At 37.9% G+C, this 26,097-nt stretch overlaps 1 protein-coding gene across 12 annotated transcripts in view; it reads left to right on the top strand.

The window, feature by feature from the left end:
- Nucleotides 1–26,097, top strand: part of DNAH5 (dynein axonemal heavy chain 5) — a 321,491-nt gene that overhangs the window by 84,600 nt on the left and 210,794 nt on the right. For 11 of the 12 annotated variants that reach the window (XR_001742034.2, XR_001742035.2, XM_017009177.2 and 8 more), the window contains exons 4-14: nucleotides 3,779–3,939; nucleotides 4,891–5,112; nucleotides 6,602–6,739; nucleotides 7,867–8,043; nucleotides 9,963–10,076; nucleotides 10,764–10,871; nucleotides 12,577–12,699; nucleotides 13,261–13,476; nucleotides 15,726–15,833; nucleotides 25,081–25,166; nucleotides 25,646–25,967. Coding sequence is in view for 10 of the 12 variants with exons in the window: in XM_017009177.2 (XP_016864666.1) it covers nucleotides 3,779–3,939; nucleotides 4,891–5,112; nucleotides 6,602–6,739; nucleotides 7,867–8,043; nucleotides 9,963–10,076; nucleotides 10,764–10,871; nucleotides 12,577–12,699; nucleotides 13,261–13,476; nucleotides 15,726–15,833; nucleotides 25,081–25,166; nucleotides 25,646–25,967 (1,775 nt within the window). In the remaining 2 variants the exon portion in view is untranslated. The other variant, XM_017009179.3, reaches the window with a different exon arrangement.

Below are 26,097 nucleotides of genomic sequence, written 5' to 3'. Positions count from 1 at the left end.
CTGGCCCAAATTTGCAAATCTTTCTATAGATTCAACTGGCATAGTCTATTCTACTTTTAAGTGGATTAATGTAATTTTAAAGGCCTAAGTAGGAAGATAAGTCAATATCTGATTAAATGTATTATTTAATATATTAAAATATTATATACATCCTTTTTATGACCCATTTGATAAAAGGGAAAATAGCTATTGCTCTTGGCATATAGTAAGACTATACTTCTTTGTTTAAAAACTGAAGAAATTATGCATGCAAATTCGAACTGGCATTTTCTCAAAGCTGTCAATTTGATATTTTGTGCTTAGAAAGCTTATTACATTTTAAGTGAAAAATCAAGAGATAGAAGGTTTGGTTTCTACACCAGATTGCAAAACATAAGCTCAAATGAAAGATCAAGTTTATCCATGAACGGAGCACTGGATGAAACTGGCCTTCTGCGTAAATTTTACTTGGACCAAGAAGTGTTCGTAGGATGTAAACATAAAACCAAGTTTAACCTTTAAATCTTCTCACTGGTGATAGTCCTTCTGAACTTGGATTAGAATGCAAGCAATCCTGTGACTTTCCTGGATGTTCTTAGATTACAAAAAATTCTATAGTCATTTCAAATTACAAACACAACCTTAACTCAAAAAGCAAAACTGTCCAGTTGATGGAAAGCGAAATATTCTTCCCTCCTCATCCTTGAACCTCCCATTTCTCTGAAGGTTGAACTTCTCAGTAGGAGAAGAGGGAGGACCATGTGCTTTTCTCCCTACCTTCGTCTTCTACCCCTTGTCCACATCAGCTTAACTAAAGTGGCTGACTGTGTGAGGCCAGAGGCAGGGCAGAGGTAAGAGGGAAGAGGGGCAGGAAAATTTTTACTGGACTAGCGCTGTCATGAGCTGCTGACCTTGCACTCTTACCTTGCTCTTGTGGGCACGGTGGTGGTTTCTCCCGAGGTGACAGGCTGTCCTGATGATGGCCTCTGAAATTTGGTAGTCTAAGCCACCAGTCTCGCTCACTCTGTCCCATCCTCCCTCAGGTGCTCCTTTTGAGTAGGATTTAAGGTGGCTCCAGTCTGGCTCTTTTCAGCAGGGGCCCCACCTGGGTTCCTAGGTCCCTGCCCTCCATGGTGGTGCTGTTAGCTCCCCGTGCAGTCCAGTTTCTCTCTATCTGCCTTATTGAGCACTGTGCTTAGATTTCTTGGTCAGGTGTCATATCCCAGTCATTTTGTTCCTAAACTCCAGGAGACATAAATCAAGCTCTTTAGGTGGTTGGGTTGAAGACCTTGTTTATTGACTGGAGTGACTGACTGTCCTGGTTGTAGCACTGAAAGTCCTGCATCCCAGCAAACCCCCCTGTCCTGGGCAAGCTGGGACAGTTGCAGTCTCATTCTTGACCTGAGGTAAAAGTAGGAACACTTTATAACCTCACCGTTTGCATAGCATGATATGGTTTGGCTCTGTGTCGCCACCCAAATCTCATCTTGAATTGTAACTCCCACAATTATCACGTGTCTTGGTAGGAACCTGGTGGGAGGTGATTGACTTATGGAGGCGGGTCTTTCCTGTGCTGTTCTGGTGATAGTGAATAGGTCTCATGAGATCTGATGGTTTGATAAGGGGAAATCTGTTTTCCTTGGGTCTTATCCTCTCTTTGCCTGCTGCCATTCATGTAAGACGTGACTTGCTCCTCCTTGCCTTCTGCTATGATTGTGAGGCTTCCCCAGCCACGTGGAACTGTAAGGCCAATCAAACCTCTTTCTTTTGTAAGTTGCCCAGTCTCAGGTATGTCTCCATCAGCAGCATGAAAATGGACTAATACTTAGCATAACTGTCCTCACAAAATCCTTCCTTAGTCTACACGCTCTTGACCCTTTTGCATTCTGATGGGGGCCAGGGAGAAGATGTCTAATCAGTTCTAGGACAACAGCTTTGAAATTTCTGCAGATTTTTTTTTCCTTTGAAATTCTGTTTTCTGATGTCTATCATGCGTTGGTGCCTTGGTTGAAACTTGTTGCCTAACATCTTATTACTCATGAGACCCAGGTGATATTAGCCAGGAGCGGGATGCAATTTTGAATGAGGGGGAGATTGATCTTCTAGTTACCTTTAATGAGGGTTCACTGTCCAAGCCACAGTCAAGGTCTCTAGCCTAGCACCATGGGAGGAAGATCCCTGAGGGAGGATTACTCCAAGAGGTTCCAATCCCAGGATTTTAGGATTCAACTTCTGGTCCACTCCCCATCCCAAAGTCCACCATTAGCGCCATCCTCCCACTGCAGTGATCCTGATTGAGCTACCGGTCCATTTGGAGATCTAAACATTTCTTGGGCAGGTAAGAACACAATGAAACAGCTCAGAGTGTATTCTATGTACTTAAATTATCTACTCAATGAGCCACATGCTTGGATAATCAAAGATGACTGTTCAAGTACTGATAATAATAATGCTTACAGAGGCTAGTATTCTTATGTGCTTTTCTAAGGACTTTACACAGTGTGTTGATTTTCACAACAATTTCAGATGCTAAGTTCTAGTATCATTCTTTTTTTTTTTTTTTTGAGACGGAGTTTTGCTCTTGTTGCTCAGCCTAGAGTGCAATGGTGTGATCTTGGCTGACCACAACCTCCATCTCCTGGGTTCAAGCGATTCTCCTGCCTCAGCCTCCTGAGTAGCTGGGATTACAGGCATGTGCCACCACGCCTGGCTAATTTTGTATTTTTGGTAGAGACGGGGTTTCTCCATGTTGATCAGGCTGGTCTCGAACTCCCGACCTTAGGTGATTCACCCGCCTCGGCCTCCCAAGGTGCTGGGATTACAAGCATGAGCCACCACGCCCGGCCATATTATTCTCATTTTTAAGATGTGAATATGAGAAAATGGAGGCACAGAAAGATAAAGTAACTTGCCAAGGTCACGTGGCTGGGAGTGCAGCCTGAGATTGAAGTTCTGAGAATCTGACTCTAGAGCCCACATTGTTAATCATTAAGTGGTCCTACCTCTACAAGACCCTGACTGCAGCAGTATTTGAAATATAACCAGGTATGCTGACTATGACAGAGTAGGGACAGCATGGGGAAGTGGGGGTTCCGAGTTTTGTAGTCAGAGCTGGTTTTCGACCTTGGCTCTGCCACCTATTGGCTGTTTGACTTGGAACATGTCACAGCTGCCTCAGAGTTGTTTTTGTTTTTCAGACTGAGTTTCGCTCTGTTGCCCAGGCTGAAGTGCAGTGGTGTGATCTCTGCCCACTGCAACCTCCGCCTCCTGGGTTCAAGTGATTCTCCTGCCTCAGCCTCCCAAGTAGCTGGGATTACAGGTGCCCACGACCACGCCCAGCTAATTTTTGTTTTTTTTTAGTAGAGACAGGGTTTCATCACGTTGACCAGGCTGGTCTCGAACTCCTGACCTCAGGTGATCTGCCCGCCTCGGCCTCTCAAAGTGCTGGGATTATAGGCGTGAGCCACCGCACCCAGCCGGGTTGTGAGTTTTAATAATGTACACAGGGTACCTAGCAGAGGGTCTGGAACACAGTACATGCCAGTAGATACATTGTCCTCCTTCCCTCTTTTCACTGCCCCTGAAACAACAGTTTTGAAGTGAACCTATGATCTGGAATCAAACAGATTTTTTAAGATCCCTGTACGGCTCATGCTAGAGATTGTTCAAGAGGTGGACCCATCTAAGGCACATGGACAAGTCAACAATGGCAATATTTTAACAAGGAAACTTCATTCCAAAGGGAACCACATGGACTGCAAAAAGCATTTGTGAAACTAAAATTATTTTGCTTTTGTAGGACAACTTGGCTCTCTAGGAGGGGTAAATCTTGTTTCTGGAAAGATTAAAAAACCTAAGGTGTTCGTGACCGAGGGAAACGATGTGGCTCTTACTGGGGTATGTGTGTTCTTCATCAGGACTGACCCTTCCAAAGCCATCACCCCTGACAACATCCACCAGGTAAGGGGCAAGAGCCATTGTTTACTCTGAATTACCAAAAAACACACAACTTGCACACAAATATTCCTCTGGTGGAGACAATCATTGTATTCACTACAGTATCTAAAACTACTTTCAGAGAAGTATTTTTTAAAAATTTAAAGCAAGAAATTAAGAGGACATTCCCTTTAAATCTTTTGAGTAAGAGGACTTAATATTCAATTTATTAACACAAATTGATATAACCTTCTGGGTGTGTGTATAACAGTGAGGGCTTTCTTTTTCTAATGAATTCCCCATGCATAATTTACTTAATGGCAAATTTTATACATTTAAGATAAGATTTCTGAAAGTGGATATATAACTTTTTTTTTTTTGTGCAAAGTAAAATGCATCTGTACAAGTTTTCCCCTTCCCTCTGACAGGTGCACTATCTTCTTGGAGCAAATAAACTGGTAAACATCTGGTATTCTATTTATTTCATGCTTTTATTTTGATGATTACAATTTAGAATAGTGTAAAGCTTATTTCTTAACCAGGTTGTCAAACTGATTTTTTTTTTTTTTTTTTTTTGAGACAGGGTCTTGCTCTGTCACCCAGGTTGGAGTGCAGTGGCGCCATCTTGGCTCACTGCAGCCTCTGCCTCCTGGATTCAAGCGATTTCTCCTGCCTCAGCCTCCTGAGTAGCTGGGATTACAGGTGCCTGCCACCACACCAGCCTAATTTTTGTATGTTTAGTAGAGATGGGGTTTCACCATGTTGCCCAGGCTGGTCTCGAACACCTGACCTCAAGTGATCCCCCCACCTCAGCCTCCCAAAGTGCTGGGATTACAGGTGTGAGCCACCACACCTGGCACAAACTAATAATTTACTGGGTATTTGGTAAAGTGACAACATTTAAGAAATGACTTAGTAGTTGTGTTGCATTTGAGGATGATTTTTACAATAAAAGATCTCCTGCCTGTTTTCCAGGAGGTGAGTTTTAACATGTTAGATGCGGCAGATGGAGGCCTGCTCAACAGTGTGAGACGTTTGCTGTCGGACATCTTCATTCCTGCTCTCAGAGCCACGAGCCATGGCTGGGGCGAGCTCGAGGGCCTTCAGGACGCAGCTAACATTCGCCAGGAGTTCTTGAGCTCCCTGGAAGGCTTTGTGAACGTCCTGTCGGGTGCACAGGAGAGTCTGAAGGAGAAGGTGAGGACGAATAAGCTGTTCCTTTAAAAATGATCAGGTGGTCAACAAGCACAGTACATAAGTGTGTAATGCTTCTCTTAGATGGTCTTAATTCCTCTATGTTTCAGTTCTTCAAAAATTTTTGTAGGCAATTTTATTGCTCCTTCAAGATGTGGTGGTGATTAGATTTAAATTTCTACAGTTTGTAATGATCAACACATTCAGGGGTTCCATAAAAACGTTGGCAGTGTTGTAGGGCTTTACTCAGTCAGTCAGATGAGTGACTCCAAAGGCAAGAGTCAGAAATGCTTGTGGCACTGCTGTGCATCCTAGAATGAAAGGAATTTGGAACTGAAGTGTGTGTGTGTGTGGGGGGGTGTGTGTGGGCGGCAGATGGAGGTGGGAAGAGATCCTGAAGAAGCAGAAGAAGGAAAGAGGAATTGATATGTTTGGAGAGAGCAAGTCTGATCCTGTGATTCAGCCAATGATCAAAAGGGCCTTTAAGAATAATTTTGGCAAAGGTGACATTTAGTTTCTGTATGATTTGTGCTGTTTATAATAAGTCTGTGTTTGTGATTACTTGGGGCAGAGGTTGATGGATGTACGCTTGTGTGTGTGTGTGTGTGTGTGTGTGTGTGTGTGTGTGTGTGTGAGAGAGAGATAGAGCAAGAGAGAGAGAGAGAGAGAGAGACAGAGAGAGAGGGAGAGAGAGAGAAGATAAGGTAATAAGAGAGATGACAGAGCCCAGATCAGGCATGTAGGGGCAGGTAGGGAAATGGATCCTATGGTAATGATGACAGTGTGACACTCTGCCCTCCTCTCCCAGGAATGCTGATCCTGCTGGGATTGGGGAAGGGGCATTACGCTTTCCAAAGGATGTGGAATGGGGGAGTTAAGCAAATTTTATCCAGACAGACACAGGATGACTCCAGCTAACACCCAAATTATATTTGTGATTGACTGTGATGGAGGGCAGACCAAATTGCAGGTTGGACCAAATAAAATTGTTGGCATTCTACATGTTGAAAATTTTTTTTAATTTTATTATTATTATACGTTAAGTTTTAGGGTACATGTGCACAACGTGCAGGTTTGTTACATATGTATACATGAATAAAGCAAACATTTTTACTACTAAAAAAATAAAATTGCTGGCATTCTATCTAAAAAAGCAGTGTTTTTTTCATATGGGTCCACTTCATATTGCAATAAAAGTATTACCAAAATGGGATGGGTCCCCAGGTGGGAGGAGGCATTCTTTCTGAGTGGGAGAGGGCAGTGGGCTTTGGGTTGAATTGTGAGGTTGTGTAGGATCACAGGGAAGTGTTGGAAGGTCCCATCAGTCTGGGGGCAGCGTGGACAAAGGCACGTGGGAGTGGAGAGGAGGTATGTGCTACCTGGTGGGCTTTCCAGAGCGCTGTCAGAGTGCAGCAAAGTGGAAAACACAGGGCCCACAGTCTGTGTGTTTTACAAAAGCATCATCTGATTATTTAATTTTCATTCTAATTAGGTGAACCTTCGAAAGTGTGACATACTTGAACTGAAAACCCTAAAGGAACCTACGGACTACTTGACTCTAGCAAATAACCCTGAGACTTTGGGAAAAATAGAGGATTGCATGAAAGTATGGATCAAACAGACAGAACAGGTAATTTTGAGAAACCAAACATCAATTTCAGGTGCCACATTACTGCGCTAGACAATGGAAGAAGGTGTATTGACATACGACATTCCATTTGTTAAGCGTTTTACTGTAAATCCTTGAGGAGGTGAGAGGTCCAATGTGGTTTTCCTTTACTGTCATGAATTAAGAAGAGGTAGTAAGAATTCTAAGAAATGAAAGAAAATGGCTGCATATACTTATATCACTCAAACGCTGCACTTTGCCAGTTTCTTTTCTCAATGTCTAATTTACTTTGGAGAGAACCCCTGTAGAAGCATGAGGAGTTTTCTAATTTAGTATGTCCTCCAAAAGGGAGCTTGAGACTTCACCTTAAACACAAATTCAGAAAAGTCCTCAATGAAGGCATGAAGGTGGACATTACATTACAAAGTAAGCACAATTAAAATCCACTAGCCTGAGCCATGCAATTTAACAAGGCCATGTTCCTCCAAGGTTATAGAGTAAATGAATAGCCAAGAAAAATTCCTGAGGTCATGGCCTTCAGAAGCTCATTACAGCTCATTAAATAGGTAGTTTTTGATTGCAGATTGGGTGACCGTAGTTAGCAACAGTATACTGTATATTTCAAACTGTTAGGTTGGTGCAAAAGTAATTGTGGTTTTTGCCATTACTTTCAATGGCTAATTACTTTTGCACCAATCTAATACCTAGAAGAGAGGACTTGAAATGTTACCCACACGTAGAAATGATAAGTACTCAAGGTGATGATACCCCAAATACTCTGACCTGGTCATGACACATTCTACATATATAACAAATACTCACATGTACCCCATAAATATGTAAAATAAGTATCAATAAAAGAAAAAAGTATGAATCAAAAATCTTTAAAAACCCCCCAAAATATAAACTATTTTCAAAAGAGGAAAGCATAAGTTGTTTTCAGTTAAAACAATTCAAAGAGATTTTCGTTGAAGTTTTAAAAATGGATGCATGCTAAGTGAGTAAAAGATTGTTATTGGAAGCATGGAATACGCATATATCATGATCCAGATAGGATAATTGATTTCCTTATTTGTTTTTTGCTTGTTTATAACTTTAGCGTCTCCAGCCCCGTGCAATGGCTCGTGTTTTTCCCCGCGCATTTGCAGGTTCTTGCTGAAAACAATCAGCTGCTGAAGGAAGCGGATGACGTTGGGCCACGAGCGGAGCTGGAGCACTGGAAAAAAAGACTCTCCAAGTTTAACTACCTTTTGGAACAATTGAAAAGCCCGGATGTGAAGGCTGTGCTGGCAGTGCTTGCGGCGGCCAAGTCGAAACTGCTGAAGGTCGTCAGCCATTTCATTTTGCCTTGTGAAATGGGAATAAGAGTTCTCTATGCATATTTTCAAGGCATAGAGTGATTAGGAACAAAAAAATGTTATTATACCTTGATGAAAAACATTTAAAATTACATAATACTTCCCTCACATCACTTTGGAGGCTGCGGAAATAGTCTTTGAATGAAAGGCAATTGTTAGCTGGTGTACGTGTATGTATATGTGTTATTGGCATTGTATGTAATTAAGACAGAACATGATAGCATGTTTATATATATATCTATGTTTTATGATTTCAGACCAGCTAGAAATAATAATAATGAAAACTCACCCTATCTGTATTTATTTTTTAGTCCTTGTATATTAGTTTTATATTGCAAAACAACCTCCAAACTTAGCAGCTTAAAACAGTCAATAGGCCAGGCGTGGTGGCTCACGCCTGTAATCCCAGCACTTTGGGATGCCGAGGCAGGTGGATCACAAGGTCAGGAGTTTGAGACCAGCCTGGCCAATATGGTGAAACCCCATCTCTTAAAAAGCACAAAAATTAGCTGGGCATAGTGTCGTGTGCCTGTAGTCCCAGCTACTTGGGAGGCTGAGGCAGAAGAATCGCTTGAACCCGGGAGGTGGAGGTTTGCAGTGAGCCGAGGTCGTGCCACTGCGCTCCAGCCTGGGTGACAGAGTGAGACTCTGCCAAAATAAAAAACAAAAAACAAAAACAGCCAATATTTCAATCTCACACTCTATGGGCCAGGAATCTGGGTGCAGCTTAGCTGGGTGCCTCTGACTCTGGGTATCTCATGAGGCTACAGCTGTGATGTGGGTTCATCTTAGGGCTCAACGCGGGGAAGATCTGCTTCTGAGTTTACTCATCTGGTTGTTGCTGGATTCAGTTTCTTGCTGGCTGTTGGCTAGAGGCTTCCTTCAGTTCCTTCCCACATGGGCCTCTCTGTAGAGCAGCTTAGAACATAGCAGCTGGCTTCCCTTAAAGGGAGCAAGTGAAGGAGGGCAAGAGAGTCCCCAACCTAGAAGCCACAGTCTTTATGTAAATTAATTCTGGAAGTGACATCCCATCACTTTAGCCATATTCTCCTTATTAGAAGCAAGTCACTAGATTCAGCCCATGATCAAGGAGAAGGGATGAATACAAGAGCTTGAATACAGGGAGTCTGTGGTCACTGGGGACCGTCATAGAGGCTGCCTAACTCACCTGGCACTGGTGCTGGAAAGACTGTTTGTTAACTATTTGCATGGGTGTTATTAGCTATTTGCATGTTTTGATACGTAATAATTTGTTGCAATAAACGTGCTATAGATTTACCTTCTATTATTCCTCAAAGAAATAGCAGAGGTGAGCCTTGCAATACAGTTCAGAAATACTATCAGTCAGACTTCCGTGAAGTCAATGGAATGTACTGACGTGCTAAATAATTTCCTTTTACTTCTCTCACTTTTAGATTATCTTTCCATTTCTAAGTTCCTAGCTCATAGCACAGTACTGGCATACAGTTGGCAGATAATAAACAATTACTACATTAATGGATAAATGTATAGGGATATAGGAAGGGAGTTCAGGTTAGAATAGAGGAAAGATAGAAAATATGGAAGTGTGGTATCAAATGGGTCTGCTAACCAGTGCAGGGGAGAACGTGTGAGTTTAAAGGGCGGTGCTGCCCTCCTGGTGCTCTGTGATAGTCATAGCATAGATTTTATATGAGAAGCCCTGGAAGATATGCTTTAAAACATTGAGTCAAAAATTTTAAATTGCTTTCCAGCATAGCAATATCTCTCGCCCCTCTGGATTCAGTTTTCTGTGAGATGGACAGAAGGTCTCGCCTAATGGACTTGTGGTGACTCTTAGCAGTGGTTGTGTTGGAAGTTCCTCTATTAATAATTACATTAAAATTGCTTTTCCCTATTGTGCTTAGACTTGGCGGGAGATGGATATTCGAATCACTGATGCAACTAATGAAGCAAAGGACAATGTGAAATACTTGTATACACTTGAAAAATGTTGTGACCCTTTGTACAGCAGTGATCCCGTGAGTTAAGGATTTCTACTCTTTCAGTCTATAGATAACCCTTTTTGCACTAGCTGAATTGAATATTGAATTTTGTTTCATCAATATTACAGTTCATTGGAAAGGTCTTAGAAACTTTATTTTCAAGAAAATTACATATATATAGGTATATACACGCAGACGCACAAATATCTGTATTTCTATATCTATTTCTCTAAGCAGTCTACCTCCTATCTATTGAAGATGTATATGAGATGTTATATTTTAAAACATTTATTGCATGTTACATTTTCCATTAAATATTGCAAAGGACATTCTGAACTATATACCCCAAAGAACTGTGGGAAAAGTCATTAGCTAGTGATGTTTTTTTTTAATCTTTTAGCTTTCGGAAGTGCCTGCTTTTACTTAGTACAACATTAACTGTTATTAACAGTTTATCCTTAATAATAGTTAACAGTTAACTTGCTGTTGCTTGTCATTAACAGTGGGTCAATGTTTCTTCCACTGAAATAAAATTTGATTAACCATATGTGACTAATAAAATTAATATTAAATATATTATTTTCATGTAAAGCATTAAATAGTATTTTTAAATCTTTAATAGAAAGCTCTTAAACTTTATTTTAATGCAGATGGAATGGTTAGTCTATTAGAATTTTGCTGAATTTGATGATTTTTTCTGAAAACTTTGGTGATATCTTTCAGCTATCCATGATGGATGCTATTCCTACACTTATAAATGCAATTAAAATGATCTATAGTATCTCTCATTACTATAATACCTCTGAGAAGATCACATCTCTGTTTGTAAAGGTAAGTGCATGATGTAGAGTCCATGTTCATTTGTATTTCTTTGCCAGTGATCAATTTTTTGATAATTAAAAATTACCACATTGGCTCAGTTCAATATGTATGTATCTTAAAATTTTAAAAAGGCTTAGGCTATCAATAGAGATAGAATTAAATTGATGTCAGAGGCTGATTCTAGCAAATCATAAAGCATTATTTCCCAAAGTAATTATTATAATAAATATTTTATTATTTATATAATACAAATGAAAAAAGATTGCTCTTGGAATTTCTTTCCTATGTGGTTTAGCACATCATGTATTCCTACTGGGTAAATTTTAATTAAGAAAAGCTATATTTAACTGGCTATCTCCTGTTTCATATTTCATATGCCACTGTTCCAAATTTATTTGATGCCACAGTTGTTTACTTGGTGTTATTAGAACAGTAATCATGGTAATAAAAGCCACTTGCAATGTTCTAGTAATCTATAAAGCAATTATAATGATTCTGCCAAAAAACATAACGATGCTTAAACCTTATGTCCTAACTCGTAAGTGTTTATGGTAAGCACTGTTGCTATTCTCATTTTGAACAGTCTCTAAGAAGTAAATGACTTTTTCATTATCAAAGCAAAAATCTTAAGTGTTATATTAAAATAGAAGAATTTTTGATGAATCAAGACTCGTGTTCTGAATACTAACGCAGTAGGAAGCACAATTCTTCCTGGGAATAAAGACATCCAGCCTTAAGAGCTCAATAGGAAACGTTTTCCTTCTGTCATGTAGGTAGTTCAGGTAGACAGGAGGGATGGCTGCAAGATTCCCTCCCAACTTCCTTATACGTTAAAATTATATGTTAGGGTTGCGAGAGTATTCCCTGGGTAAATGACACCCACAAGTAAATGTGTGTTATTAATTAAGATTTTATGCATATTATTTGCAAAACTTGATTTAGCATAAAATAATGAAACCACCATTTATCTAATTGTAAAAAACCTTTCATTATGGAAATGTTGAATTAGGTACAAAAGGAGAGAATCGTATACTGGAATGCCATGTACATATCACCTAGATTCAGCAGATATCCACGCATGGCTGATCTTGTTTCACCTATACCCCCACCCCTTGCACTGTAAATCCTGGGCATCATATCTTTCCATGGATACAGCATAGTCATTTAATTTTCCTTATGCTTTATCCAAAAAATTAATACATTTCTGAGGATTTTTGTGAAGTTTGGAGAGATGAATAAAATGTTAGTGGTTTTGTACATTAGTTTTCCTTCTCTCTGCGGCCTTCTCCTTTTGACATTTCCATTGCTGATCATGGTCACATGAAAAGATCAGGATCGGCAGTACTTTACATGGTGCTAGTAAACTGTGAGTTAGATATTAGAGCAGGCTACCTAAGGAGATTTGGGGAAACTCATCAGTTTTCAGGGAAGGAAATGAATCCTTCCTTGTTTTGTTAAGACATTCATCCTGCATAGACAAGGTGGCCTAAATTGTCGATTTTCCATGGTGCTTCCAACTCTGTGATTTCACAAATGATTTTGACAATATCAAAGGGTTATTGGTGGATTATAACTGTGATGGAAAAAAAATAAACCCAAGCTCAAGTTAGAAGATTGTGAACTCTGAGAAGTAGAAGAGTTAAGGACCTTCTAGTCCAGTTTACAATCCATGGCTGTTTTATGTGCTTAACATCATTTTATTGGAAAATCCCAGGTGACAAATCAGATTATATCTGCATGTAAAGCCTATATTACCAATAATGGAACCGCTTCCATCTGGAACCAGCCACAGGATGTTGTTGAAGAAAAAATACTATCTGCGATTAAACTGAAACAGGTAATGGTCAGTTTAGTATTTAGATGTTCTATTCTTTTTATCTTATTTTTGTTGAGACCATCTTAAATCATTTTGTAATTATTATATCATTGGTTGATAAAAAGAACAGTGATTCTTAACTATGAAGAAAATGGAATGTTAATATACCTTCCCAGGAAATTTATTCACCTTTTTGTACCCTCCTTGGGAGCCTACTATGTCCTGATATCACAGTAAGTACTAGAGATACAAAGACAGCTAATATGAGGTAGTTTTCCTTAAGCATCTTTAAGATGAATGGAGAGAGAGTCATAGAAGGATGCTATTACCAAAACCATGGGACCAAGATGGGAAAGCCACACCTTTGAGTTGCATCGTGAGTAACCCGATTAGAATCTAGAATTGCTAGATTAGAGGAGGTGAAAAGATGATTTTCCAGGCTGATGAGTGAGTACAAGCAAAGGCATGAAACTATGAAAAGGCTTACAATTCCATCCTAATTTTGCTGTCGCCTTCACTTAAGAAAATAAAGTTGATACCTTTCTTGTTCCCTTTGTTGTATATTTTTCTTTTGATTTTAAGGAATACCAGCTCTGCTTTCACAAGACAAAACAAAAGCTTAAACAAAATCCAAATGCAAAACAATTTGATTTTAGCGAGATGTATATTTTTGGAAAATTCGAAACTTTTCACCGACGCCTTGCCAAGATAATAGACATCTTTACAACCCTCAAGACGTATTCAGTCCTGCAAGATTCCACAATTGAAGGGCTGGAAGACATGGCCACTAAATACCAGGTATTGTACTTTAAAGCTATATTTTATAACATAATCCACAACTAAACTTCAATATTTTATGCAAATAACAGTGTTTAGAATGATTCAAATCATCAGTCTGTAAAGTAAAATATAAATAATCTCATGGCCTTTTAACAATAAAGAAATTAGATTTGTTTGAGAATTGTGTAATGGTGCTAATATGTTCTTTTCAGGTGTGTGGTTATAAGAATGACTTTCCAATAGTCTAAAATTAATCACCATTAAAAAAGCATTTTCATTAGTAGCACAAGAAAAATGTTTAATTGTAACTTATTGTTTTATTTATTCTTGCAAGAAATATTTAATGAAGAGTATACTGTATCAGGCACTAGTTGACACCAGGTACTTTGTGGCACTCAATTATCTCTGCATTTAAGCATTTTATTTGGACCCATATTAAAAAATATAAAGGACCTGATTTTATTCTAGATGTGATTTCCCTAATTATTTTGATTTTTAACTGCTTTATCTTGTCATGGTATCTGTGTGACTAATTTTAGTTTTGAAAGTGGGCATAGTGACCTAATAACATTTCGAAGATTTTAGAAAAACAATTTACAAACAATTTGCTTTAAATTCTTAATATGGACATAGTCAATTTTTTTCTTTTTTGGGGGACAGTGACACTAAATCTTAAATTTTTTTTGGTACTTGAATTTGAAAAGGATCATATAATTAACCACTACACACTAATTTTTGTACTCTAACAATTTAGCCCAATATAAGGAATCTTTTTCATTTCCTGAGTATACCAAGTTTTGGGAGAGATAAAGAAAATACCTTTATATAGCAGGAAACATTTTAAGTTTACTGGCACATAGTAGATGTGCAATAAATATCTGTCAAGAAAATAATTAAGTAGATTGAGTTTGAGTAGTTGATGTAAAGGTCACGATTAATCATTTCCTTTATTTAACTTAATAATCTTAAGTGACCATTAAATCCAGTCATAGAGCAGGATTTTCTCAAGTTCCCAAATCTTTAAAATTACTACATCAAAATGTAGTAGCTTTTCCATACTTGTTTTAGACAATTTATATAACACTATATATGTGTGTGTATATATGTATATAGTGTTACATAAAATGTCTAAAAGAAGTATGGAAAAGCTACATGTGTATGTATATATGTGTATATATACATACACACACATACTTTTGATTCTTTTGATTTTAAGGGATATCAGCACTGTAAATCCTAGACATTGTATCATTCCATGCATATATATAGTGTGTGTGTGTATATATTTTATATAACATTCCATGCATACACACACGTTATATAAAAAAGTATATATATATATACATACACACACAATTTCTAAATAGAACTAATTTTGTAGTTATGCAGCATGAAAAAGTAGGTTGTTTTATCTAGTAAACTTGATTCAAGAAGTTATGCTGTTTATACACTTTTGTCTATTGAGAGATTTGATGTTTAAATGGAAGTGACTTTGAAGAGGAGATTGTAGAAGAAGGAGGCCCAATATTCTTCATAAAAATTATATGCTTCTGTCAACAGTGTGGGCACCTGAGTTTGAGAATGGCTTAGTACCTGGTTAAGAAGAATCGCAGAGCATTATAGCTCATTATTGAAAGCAAACAAAGCTTCTGATAATAGTATTTTCAAGGAGATGAACTTCCTAGTTTGTACTTTCCTAGTCACAGGCTGCAGCTTTGCAGGGCAGTAGGAAACAATTAATTTTAGAAAGGTTTTAAGTGGTGGATTCTGGTCTGACATTTTTAAGATGTTTGAAGCTTGGAAGGTAGTAACTCATCTGTAGATATAACATCATTTATTTTCTTCCTATATTGTTTGTGTTCTGTGAAAGCCTTATTTATTTTCTGAGAAGATTTAAACTATTCAACACAGAATATTTTAGTAAATTCTACTCTGGGCTTTAAAAATTATTTCAGATATGATTAACAATAAAATTTTAGTGGAAAAAATCTTTCCCAATTTTCAGGTGTGGTTTTTATTTCATTTTTTCAAAAATACATAAAACATCATGAAAATACTTTCCAAGTGATTTCTTTGAATGCAGTAGGGCAACCTTATACTGCCTGTAAAATAATAAGCACAAAACAATGTGAGTAAAAAAATAAGGCTTCCTTTAAACTTATTTTTTTTCTGGCAATTATTGTATAGGCTCTACATTTAAGGGTCATATTTAGTTAGGTAATATAAGAATATTGAAATATTATCTAATTTATCTCATAATATTTCAGGGCATTGTGGCAACCATAAAGAAAAAGGAATACAATTTCCTAGACCAGCGGAAAATGGATTTTGACCAAGATTACGAAGAGTTTTGCAAGCAGACTAATGACCTTCATGTAGGTTGTATAATAAAATTCCTGTTGACAGTCGTGTGTTTATTTTTTCCTTTCTGTATAATGCCGTTAATCATTACCCAATCAGAAGGCAGAGGTATCTTCATCATGGAGGTGACCGATAGCAACCTCAGCCTGTGTTTCGTGATTTCAGATTAATAATTGAAGGCTGTTTTTCATGGATTAAAGGGTCATAAATATAGCTTTGGCTAATGATGTGTATCAGACTTCCACATGTCTTCCATTGACGTTCTTAGAAAGTTAACTTTCATCTTCTGTTGAACATTGCGGCACGATTGGAATGTAGACTCTTATTTCCGTTTGTCACTGTGTAGCAATGATTATGACCAGAGGTAGCTCAGGCAAATGGTCAGCAATGTCTGGCAGATTCCAAGGCAGGGCTGCCACTGGCCTTAGAAACGGTGGCGCCAGGACCGACTCAGCACCTGGACCCCGCTTGGACTTGCAACCCCTTTCTCTTCCTTCTTTCACCTGCTCACTGCAGACCAGCCATCTTGCCTTGCAGCTCACATGAGCAGTTTATGCCATTAGCAGCTTCTGAGACTGTTTCACAGGACCAGGCCAGCTCCAGATTCCCGAGGAAGGGGTTGGGCTAGCCAGTTCTGGTGAGGTGCCTAGTACTGGGCCTCTCAACTGTGAGATCCTGTGGTGGACACAGGCGGGATGGGATCCACTGGGTCACGGGGAATGTTTATTATCAGGAAAGGGGAGTCAGGGAGGGTAAGATGGGAAGACACCCAGCAGGTATCTACCATAATGAATATGGGGACATTTTCTCATCCCAGTGAGGTGCAAATGTCTATCTTTCTGACTATAAGAGGAAAATAGCCACTCTATTTCTTCTTTCCCAGGGTTTTTGATTTGCATTAAATTTGTGCACTTCAAAGTAAAAGGAGCTCTGAGACACCTTGGGAGGAGCGAGTTCAGTGTTAGAATGAGTCATAACAAAGCTAGCTCATTCTATGTGCCAGGCACTGTTCTAAGCACTTTGTATGTGCTAATTCATTTAATAATCGTAATAATCCTATAAAGTGGGTGCTCTTGTTACTCTCATTTTGCAGAGGAGGAAACTGGGAAACTTCACTGTGAGGGGAAGTGGCTTGCCTAAAGTCACAGGCATAACAAGGGGTGGAGTTGGGGTGAAAGCCAGGCAGTCTGGCTTTGGAATTCAACTTTTTTAACCATTGTGGCATGCAGCAGGCTTCATTTGATGGGAAGAGAGAGTACCTATAATAATTTAAGCAATGATTTCTTTTGGGGGCAGATTCAGACATAAGGACAGTGAATGTTGGTCTCTTTTTGTTGGAAATTGATGAGTAATGGCAGATTCTGATGTTCACCTGTGTTTCCTCAGCAGTGTCTGACCACATGGTACTTCTGTAGCTTATATGTGGAATATAGATGGTGAGCACCTCAAATGCAGGGATCATGTTTTATTCCCATATGTTAATAAGAAGATGTAGATTTATTGCAATGAAACAAACGTTTGCTATACAGCAATTATGTATTAGACTTCTATGCTGTAGGTTATGAATACAGAAATAAATCAAGTAGATATGCCCTCGCAGCTCATAGTCAGATAGGAGGCAGATGGTGAAATGATGAAAATATAAGCACATACATTAGAACAGAGTAATGAATTTAGCATTTAAAAAAGGGCAAATGGAGTTAAAATGGCTACTTAGGAAAGAATACTACTCTGATACTATATGAAAAAGTGAGGATTCAAAAATAAAGAGACATAGCTCAAGGCCTACAAAAATGTATAGGGAGATCAGGCCTGGAAAACATTACGTAGAATCTGATCATGTGAACCTAGGGAAAGATAATCTGATACTTCTGCTTGGCTGGGGTTAGGAAAGGCTTCAGAGAGGAGGCTGTGGTTGATGCTAGAAAGATGTTTGTGTGGTTATATTTTTCATGGTTTCAATTACCCAGGGTCAACTGTGGTCTGAAAATAGGTGAGTATAGTACAATAAAATATTTTGAGAGAGAGAGGGGCCACATTCACATAACTTTTATTACAGTATATTGTTAAAAATTGTACTATTTTATTATTATTGCTGCTCATCTCTTACTCTGCCTATTTTGTAAATTAAACATTATTATGTTTGTATGTATGTACAGGCAAAAACATAGTATATATAAGGTTTGGTTTCAGTCACCCACCGGGGATTTTGGAACATATTCCTGAGGATAAGAGGGGACTACTGTATTAGTTCCCATTCTACTCAGCCTTCTTAAAAGAAAGTCAACACTATTATCCATCTTGTCTTCCATGTCAGAAATTGTTCACTTCTGTCTTTGGTTTGCCAATGAGTTTTTCTTTGACTTACACTTCTTTATTCCTTTGTCCATTCTCTTTCTCTTAACTAATTGTTCTGCAGTCTGTCCTTTAAATACTCACCCACTCATGAATTCAGCCCTCATCTTTATAAAACTGGGGCAAAAATACCTTCCCACGACTCTGAATGGAGTAAGGGCGGTGATGCGTCCAGGAGTCTTGGAGAGACTCAGCAACAGTGGAATCTCAAGTGAAAGTCTTCATGAGTGATTTGGATCAGGGTGGTGTCAAAGGGATCAGAGCCTGGAATCCTCTCCAGATTTAGGGTTCGTGCTGGTACTAACAGGTCAAAGAGGGCAGCATGTTGGAACCAAGTGGGCTGTTGGAAGTCTAGAAGCATGCTGATCCCAGCAGATGGAGAAGGCACTACTTAGTAAAGGATGGGTGTTGAGGTGGCAAGCTGAGTTAAAGGAAAACTGAGTAGGAGCTGAGACCCCAAAACTAATGTGAAGACGAGTATGAAGATTCCACAACCCAGACCCCACAAACTGTAAGGATGGACCAAGGCTCAGAACAAGAAAAGTCTAGGTCTTACATGTTGACAGAGAGTTCAGCCCAGGCCTTTGCGAAGCCATAGGGTAGAAAGGCAAGGAAAACCAGGTAAAAGTGTTAGGGCTCAGTAGAGATTTGCTGGTGTCTGAAGGAGAGGGAGGCAGTGGAAGGGTTATAAATGCTCTAGTTTTGCATAATTTATACATAGAGATTTTTTATGTAGTGAAAAAATGTAGATGTTTATTTAGGTAGGCTAACTGTACTGTTTTTTAATGCAGGAACATTTTTTCATCCTAGGATGTGGACTTAGCAGGAGAAATAATGTCACTTAAAAAATACATATACTTCCAGTAGAAGTAGCTGAAACTATTGAGGGCAAGGAAGTATTGTAATAGGCTTCCAGCTCCTTCAGTTTTGGAGCTTTGCTGGATCAGGCAGGAGGTTTGCGGCTTACCCATCCCCCACCCTGCCAATAGCTCCATCTCCTCCACAGGTCGTATCTCCTGTGGTGGTCTGGATATTGCCAACTGGTTTTCTTACCATATTACTTCTGACCTAACATTATCTGAAATCAAACCCATTTAGGTACTAATTCTTATCGCATATCAAACTAGTCTCCTCAATTTAATACTACATCAATTAATGTCTCTTCAAGTTTGCAAAGACTTAATTAAAACTTCTGACTGGTAAGTTGAAAAAAAGTTGTTCACTTTGTCTTGAAGCATGAAATATAAAATAAGGAAATAATTTTTCTATGTTTTGTTTAACTGAATTTAGATTTTAATTATAGCTCTGCACTAAAGCTTAGGATGCACAAAGAATAAATTGTGCTTAGTTTTTTGGTGCAATTTTTTTGGGGGGAGGGTCATAGTTACATAATAGTATAAGATGTGTGACGTTCTCAGGAGAACCCATAAAGACCATTTTGGAAAACATATTTGAGGGGTTCATGAAAAGGATTTTTAAAATCTTTGATATTTAAGTCATTCTTTTTACAACACGTTTCACCTTTAATGCTTTTAGAACAATTTTTATTCTTTGATTAATATCATTACCATATTCCCCCTTCTCTCCCCCAGGTTCTTTTTTTGGGGGGTGGCGGGGGGACAGAGTTTCACTCTTGCCCAGGCTGGAGTGCAGTGGCACGATCTCGGCTCACTGCAACCTCTGCCTCCCGGGTTCAAGCGATTCTCCTGCCTCAGCCTCCTGAGTAGCTGGGATTACAGGCACGCTCCACCACACCCGGCTAATTTTTGTATTTTTAGTACAGATGGGGTTTCAGCATGTTGGCCAGACTGGTCTCGAACTCCTGACCTTAAGTGATCCACCTGCCTTGGCCTCCCAAAGTGCTGGGATTACAGTCGTGAGCCACCGTGCCTGGCCTCGTTCTGCTAGATTCTAATTTGACAGATGCTCTCGGTGTGAACTTGCGTTCACCCCACTGCCCTTGGTTAATTTTGCCAAAGGTTAGTCTGTATTATTATTTTTCCCAAAGAGCAGCTTTGGAGATGTTAATCTTGTCTCTTACTTCTTTGTTTTTAATTTTATTGCATTTTGTTTTAAAACATTTTTTTCTTCTTTCTTTGGAATTTATTCTGTTATTTTTACCTTTCTTCAACTGACAGCTTAGCTCATTAATTTCCATTTCTTTTCTTTTTCTCTTTAAAATAGGTGCATGAAAGTCTATATCTTTTCCACGAAGGGTCACTATTGCTGTTTCTTACAAATTTTAATATGTAGTACATATGTTGTTGTTGAGTTTAAAGTATCACGTAATGTTTGTTATGATTTGTTATTTTACTCATGGATTATTTGAAAGCATTTTTAGCTTTTTTATTGTACTCTATTGGCTCTCATTTTATTTTGGCTTAAATTATTATATTTTGATGTGAGAACATGGAATACTTTATGTCAGTATTTTGGTATTTACTGAGATGTCCTCCGTGGCCTAGTTCGTAGTTAAGATTTGTAGATGTTCCATGTGTACTTGAAAAGAGTAGTGTTTTCTGTCTGGATTTGGGGTCTTTTGATGTCACTATATCACACTTTTAATTGGGTTATTCAAATATTTTACACCTCATTAAATATTTTTTAAAAATGACTTTTTAAAGAGAAGTTGTAGATTCACAGCAAAATTGAGAGGAAGTACAGAGATTTACTATATTCCCCCTACTCTCCCCCAGAATGCATAGCCTCCCCCATTATGAACATCCCCTGATAGGGTGGTACATTTGTTACAATCGATGAGCCTAAATTGACACATCATTACCATCTAAAGTCCACAGTTTACATTAGGGCTCACTCTTGGTGTTATACATTCTATGGGTTTGGACAAAGATACAAGGATATGCATCGACCGTGGTAATATCAGGCAAAGTGTTTTCCTACCGAAAAGTCCCCTGTGCTCCACCTATTCATCCTTCCCTCTCCCGGTAACTACTATCTTTTTACTGTCTATGTAGTTTTGCCTTTTCCATCTAGTCGGAAGCATACAGAATATGCCCTTTTAGACTGGCTTCTTTTAGTTAGTGATATGCGTTTATATTTTCTTCATGCCTTTTCATGGCTTGATAGCTCATTTCTTTTTAGCACTGAATAACATTCCATTATTCAGTTGTGATGTACCACAATTTATCCAGTCACACATTGAAAGATATCTTGGTTACTTCCAAGTTTTGACAACTATGAATAAAGCTGCTATAAACATCGGTGTGTAGATTTTTCTGTGGATATAAGTTTTTAACTTCTTTGATTGAGTACCAAGAAGTATGATTGCTGGATCATATAGTATGAGTGTTTTTAGTTTTATAAGAATCCATCAAACTGTCTTCCAACATGGCCATACCATTTTGCATTCCCACTGGCAATGAATTAGAGTAGAGTTCTTGTTGCTCCACATCCTCACCAGCATTTGGTGTTTCCAGCATTCTAGATTTTGACCATTCTAATATTTGTAGTGGTATACTGAATGTTTTTTGATCTTCTTTGTCTGAGTTCTTTTTGTGTTGCTATAACATAACTGCAGACTGGCTGATTTATAAAAAAAAGAAATTTATTTCTTACAGTTCTGGAGACTGAGAAGTCCAAGGTTGAGGAGCCGGTATCTGATGAGGGCCTTCTTGCTGCATGGCAGAAGGCTGAAGAGCAAGAGAGCTTGAGAAAGCAAGAGAGGGCTGAGCTCGTTTTTTATAACAACCCACTCCTGCGATAACATTAATCCACCGATGGGAGCAGAACCCTCAGGGCCTAATAACCTCTTAGTGGTGCCACCTCTTAATATCATCACAATGGCAATTAAATTTCAACAGGAGTTTTGGAGAGGACATTTAAACCATAGCATGCTTGATCCATGGGTTTCTAAAAATCTGTGTATATATTTTGATTCAATTGGTTAAACACAGACTCGAAATTGGCATATCTGCCAAAGAAATTGTTCCCTTTAATGCTAAATTATGACCATATTTATCTTCAATGAGGCTCTTTGCCTTACAATCAATTTTGTGAATTATTTATATTGCTACTTCGACTTTCTTTTGGTTATTATTTACCTGAAATAAACATTTTTTTCTGTTCTTTTACTTCCTACTATTTCTTTCTTTCTTTCATTTTCTTTTCTTTTTTGAAACAGGGTCTTGCTCTGTCACCCAGGCTGGAGTGCAGTGGTGCGATCTTGGCTCACAGCAGCCTCGATCTGCTGGGCTCAAATGATCATCCCACCTCAGCCTCCCGAGTAGTTGAGACTACAGGTGCATGCCACCATGCCCAGCTAATTTTTGTATTTTTTGAAGAGTCAGGGTTTTGCCATGTTGCCCAGGCTGGTTTCAAACTTCTGGGGTCAAGGGATCTGCCAACCTTGGCCTCCCAATGTTCTGGGATTAAAGGTGTGAGCCACTGTACTTGGCCTACTATTTCTTAATTATTATATTTTAAACATATCTCTTTAAAAGAGCAATGGTTGGATTATATACGTATAATACAAACACACACACACACATAATCCACATACATAGAATCCATATATATAAAATCAATATATCTATAATTTATATATAATATCCTTATATATAATTCACATGCACATATATAATCCACATATATATAAAATCCATATATCTATAATATATATATCTATAATTTATATATAATATCCATGTACAATCTACATAAAAATATAATCCATATCTCTCTATATAACATATATGTATATATAAAAAACAGCTGAGACTCTCTTTCCTTTAATTGCAAGTTTAAGCCATTTACATTGATTGTTGTTTTTAGTATAGAGTTACTTCTACAATCTATTTTGAATTTTAAGTGAGGTGAACTTTTTTTCTTTGACTTTTTCCTTTTTATATTTTGTTGATTAAATTTTGTTATTCTCTTTATTCCTCTTCTATTTATATTTTTAATATTGTATTTATATTTTTAGTGGTTTTAGCATATATACCTGACTTTAAAGAGTTTAACTGTTTTATCAGCCTACCTCTCATTCATGCTATGGTTGTCTTGAATTTTAGTTTTACCTTTGCTGCTAAACTTTTCAAACTTGTTATTACTAATAGTTATTTAAATTTAGCAACATGTTTACAGTTTGCTTTGCTTATTCTTGCATCTTGTTAGTAATCGTATCTCTCCCTCTTTTTGGGTTCATTATCATTCTTAAAGAAGTATATCCTTTAGTTTTATTTTAACAAGAGTCTGTTAATGGTAAACTCATCCAGTCTTTACACCCAAATGCCTATAAAGTTGCCCTCAATCTTGAATATTATTCTCGTTTTATATGTGATTTTAGTTTGGGTGTTATTTTCCGTCAGCCCTTAGAAGATCTTTATTCACTGATTTTTGTCGGCTATTGTTCTCCACGAGGTATTTGCTATCAAATAGTTATTTCTTTATAGATAAATTTGATTTCTCCCTTTTGTGATTTTAATATTTCTATCTTTTAATATTAATATTACTATTATTTTTCTTTTAATATTGTTTTTCTCTTTACCTTTGGCATCTTTCTGTGAGTTTTGGGTGTGATTAAAACATATTTCTCTTGTTCAGAATTTGATGTGCTTCTTCCATTTGAGGACTAAGTCTTTTTTTAATTGTGGAAAATTCTCAGCCTTTCTCATTTTAAATATCTTAGGTTCTTCTTCCAAGATTTCCAATAGACATATGTTACACCTTATTTTTCTATCTTCCATGTTTGTTAACATCTTTTTTTGTATTTTTCCATTTCTTTATTTCTCTGCTATACTTTGGGTGATTTTATTTGAAAACTGTCTTGTAGTTCATCAGTTTTCTTTTCAGGTGTTTATAATTTGCATCTATTGTATTTTGAATTGTAATTATGTTCCCCTTTATACGTCTAAATTTTATTTTTAAAAATCTGAGTGTTCTTGTTTTATTCAGTTCTGTTCTTTTTATGATTTCTGTTTCTTCTTTACTCTTTAATCACTTTAAATATACTTATTTCATAGTCTCCTTTAGACTGCTCTATCATTTTTAGTACTTGGTTACTAATTCTGTTTGTGCATTCTGCTCCTTCTCTCTCAAAGATGATTTTCTCATGGGTTTTCAAAAACTTTTTGAGCTTCTTTAGAAGTTATGTATTTATTTTTTTTCCTATAGGAATCTTTTGGCCCTGGGCTTTGGAAGTGTTTCTGTAGAGTGGCTTTTCTTGAATTCTGTGGTCCTAGTGGTTTTACTTTCCCAGACTAGCTTTTATGTTAATGTCTTGGGTTATATCCCTTTCATTTCATGTGTAGTTTAAACCTGGACCCCTTATCTAGGTGTGGCACCGATGTGGGATTTCAGTTCCTCTAGGGCAGGGGTCAGCAAACTATGTCCAAGAGCCAGACAGTGCCCTGCCCATTTGTTTGTGTACTGTCTATGGGTGCTTTGGCATTGCAGTGGTAGAAGTGAGTAGCTGTGATGAGAAAGTATGGGAACCCTATTGTAGGGTGACTTTTTTTCCTATTCAAGGGTTTGGGCAGATGTCAAGCCTCTTTGCAGCTTTCCCAACTTGTGAATCAATTCCCTTTGCATGTACTGGGCAGCACTTCAAGGATCCCTGCTTTCCACAGGCTCTGTTGAGAATGTTAGGACCCCATAGCCCATCTCCCCATATTGCGATAAGGCCCCAGTGCCACCCCCCAGGCTCTGTGTCTGGCCCAGTACCCGTGGAACCTGACGTGGCGCCAACTCCCATGGCTGATCTGGCTTTCAAGTCTCTCTTTGTTTCTGGCTTCTGGGCATTTATTTTTCTTTTAAGCTCATTCAATTTTCGGTTACATTTTGTTCCATGTTATATGTGTTTGCACAGAATGGAAAGCTCTTTTATCTTGTTGCTAAACAGTAAATTCCCAATTCTATTGTTCATCATCAGATTTTATTCTGTTTTAGAACGAGTTGCGGAAGTTCATGGATGTTACATTTGCAAAGATTCAAAACACAAATCAAGCTCTAAGAATGTTGAAGAAATTTGAAAGGTAAAATTTTCAAGAAATTGTCTATTTTCTAAAATTGGGATAGTTTAGCTTTTATTGTTGTTATTCCTATTATTATTATTTCATATTCTGATGGAAAGGAAAACCTCTCTTGGCAATTTGGGTCACAAGGTCATAGTTTTTAAGTTTTTCAGAGGATTAATCCTTTTAAGGATTCAGGATTTATTTTATTTCTACAAATAGAGAATACTCTTAGCTTTGAAGTACCTTGTGACTGCCTATAATAATATTTCCTAATGTATAGATAATTTGAAAAATGTCTTCCCAAGTTAATAGTTTTGCCTACATTTTATGGATGAGTTTTATTTTTATTCTTTTAATATTCCATGTAAATATCTCATTCTTTTCCATTAGCATTTTAAAAAATAAATATTAATAAATGAGATTACTAGATATTTTTATTGTGTATTTTATTTATTTTATTCCATTAATTCAAGCTTTTAACTTTTTAAAAAAATCAGATTGAATATACCTAATCTTGGTATTGATGACAAATATCAACTTATCCTTGAGAACTATGGGGCTGACATTGATATGATTTCAAAGCTGTATACAAAGCAGAAATACGATCCTCCTCTGGCTCGAAACCAGCCTCCCATCGCTGGAAAGATTTTGTGGGCCCGCCAGCTCTTCCATAGGATTCAGCAGCCCATGCAGCTTTTCCAGCAGCACCCAGCTGTGCTAAGCACGGCAGAAGCCAAACCTATAATTCGCAGTTACAACAGGATGGCCAAGGTCCTCCTGGAGTTTGAGGTCCTCTTCCACAGGGCGTGGCTTCGGCAAGTGAGTCCCTAAATTTATACTCTTCCCATTGTTGGAATCATGGGAACCCCTCTTCTAGCATTTGACAGTGTTATTTCTTTAGAAAGCTGGATTTGTAGGTGTTTTGTAAGGCAGATGGGTTGAATCTAAG

The sequence above is a fragment of the Homo sapiens genome, chromosome 5 (assembly GCF_000001405.40).
Source record: "Homo sapiens chromosome 5, GRCh38.p14 Primary Assembly".
Taxonomy (NCBI): Eukaryota; Metazoa; Chordata; class Mammalia; order Primates; family Hominidae; genus Homo; species Homo sapiens.
Note: the sequence above shows the minus strand (reverse complement) of the source record. Positions and strands in the feature narration are given on the sequence as shown.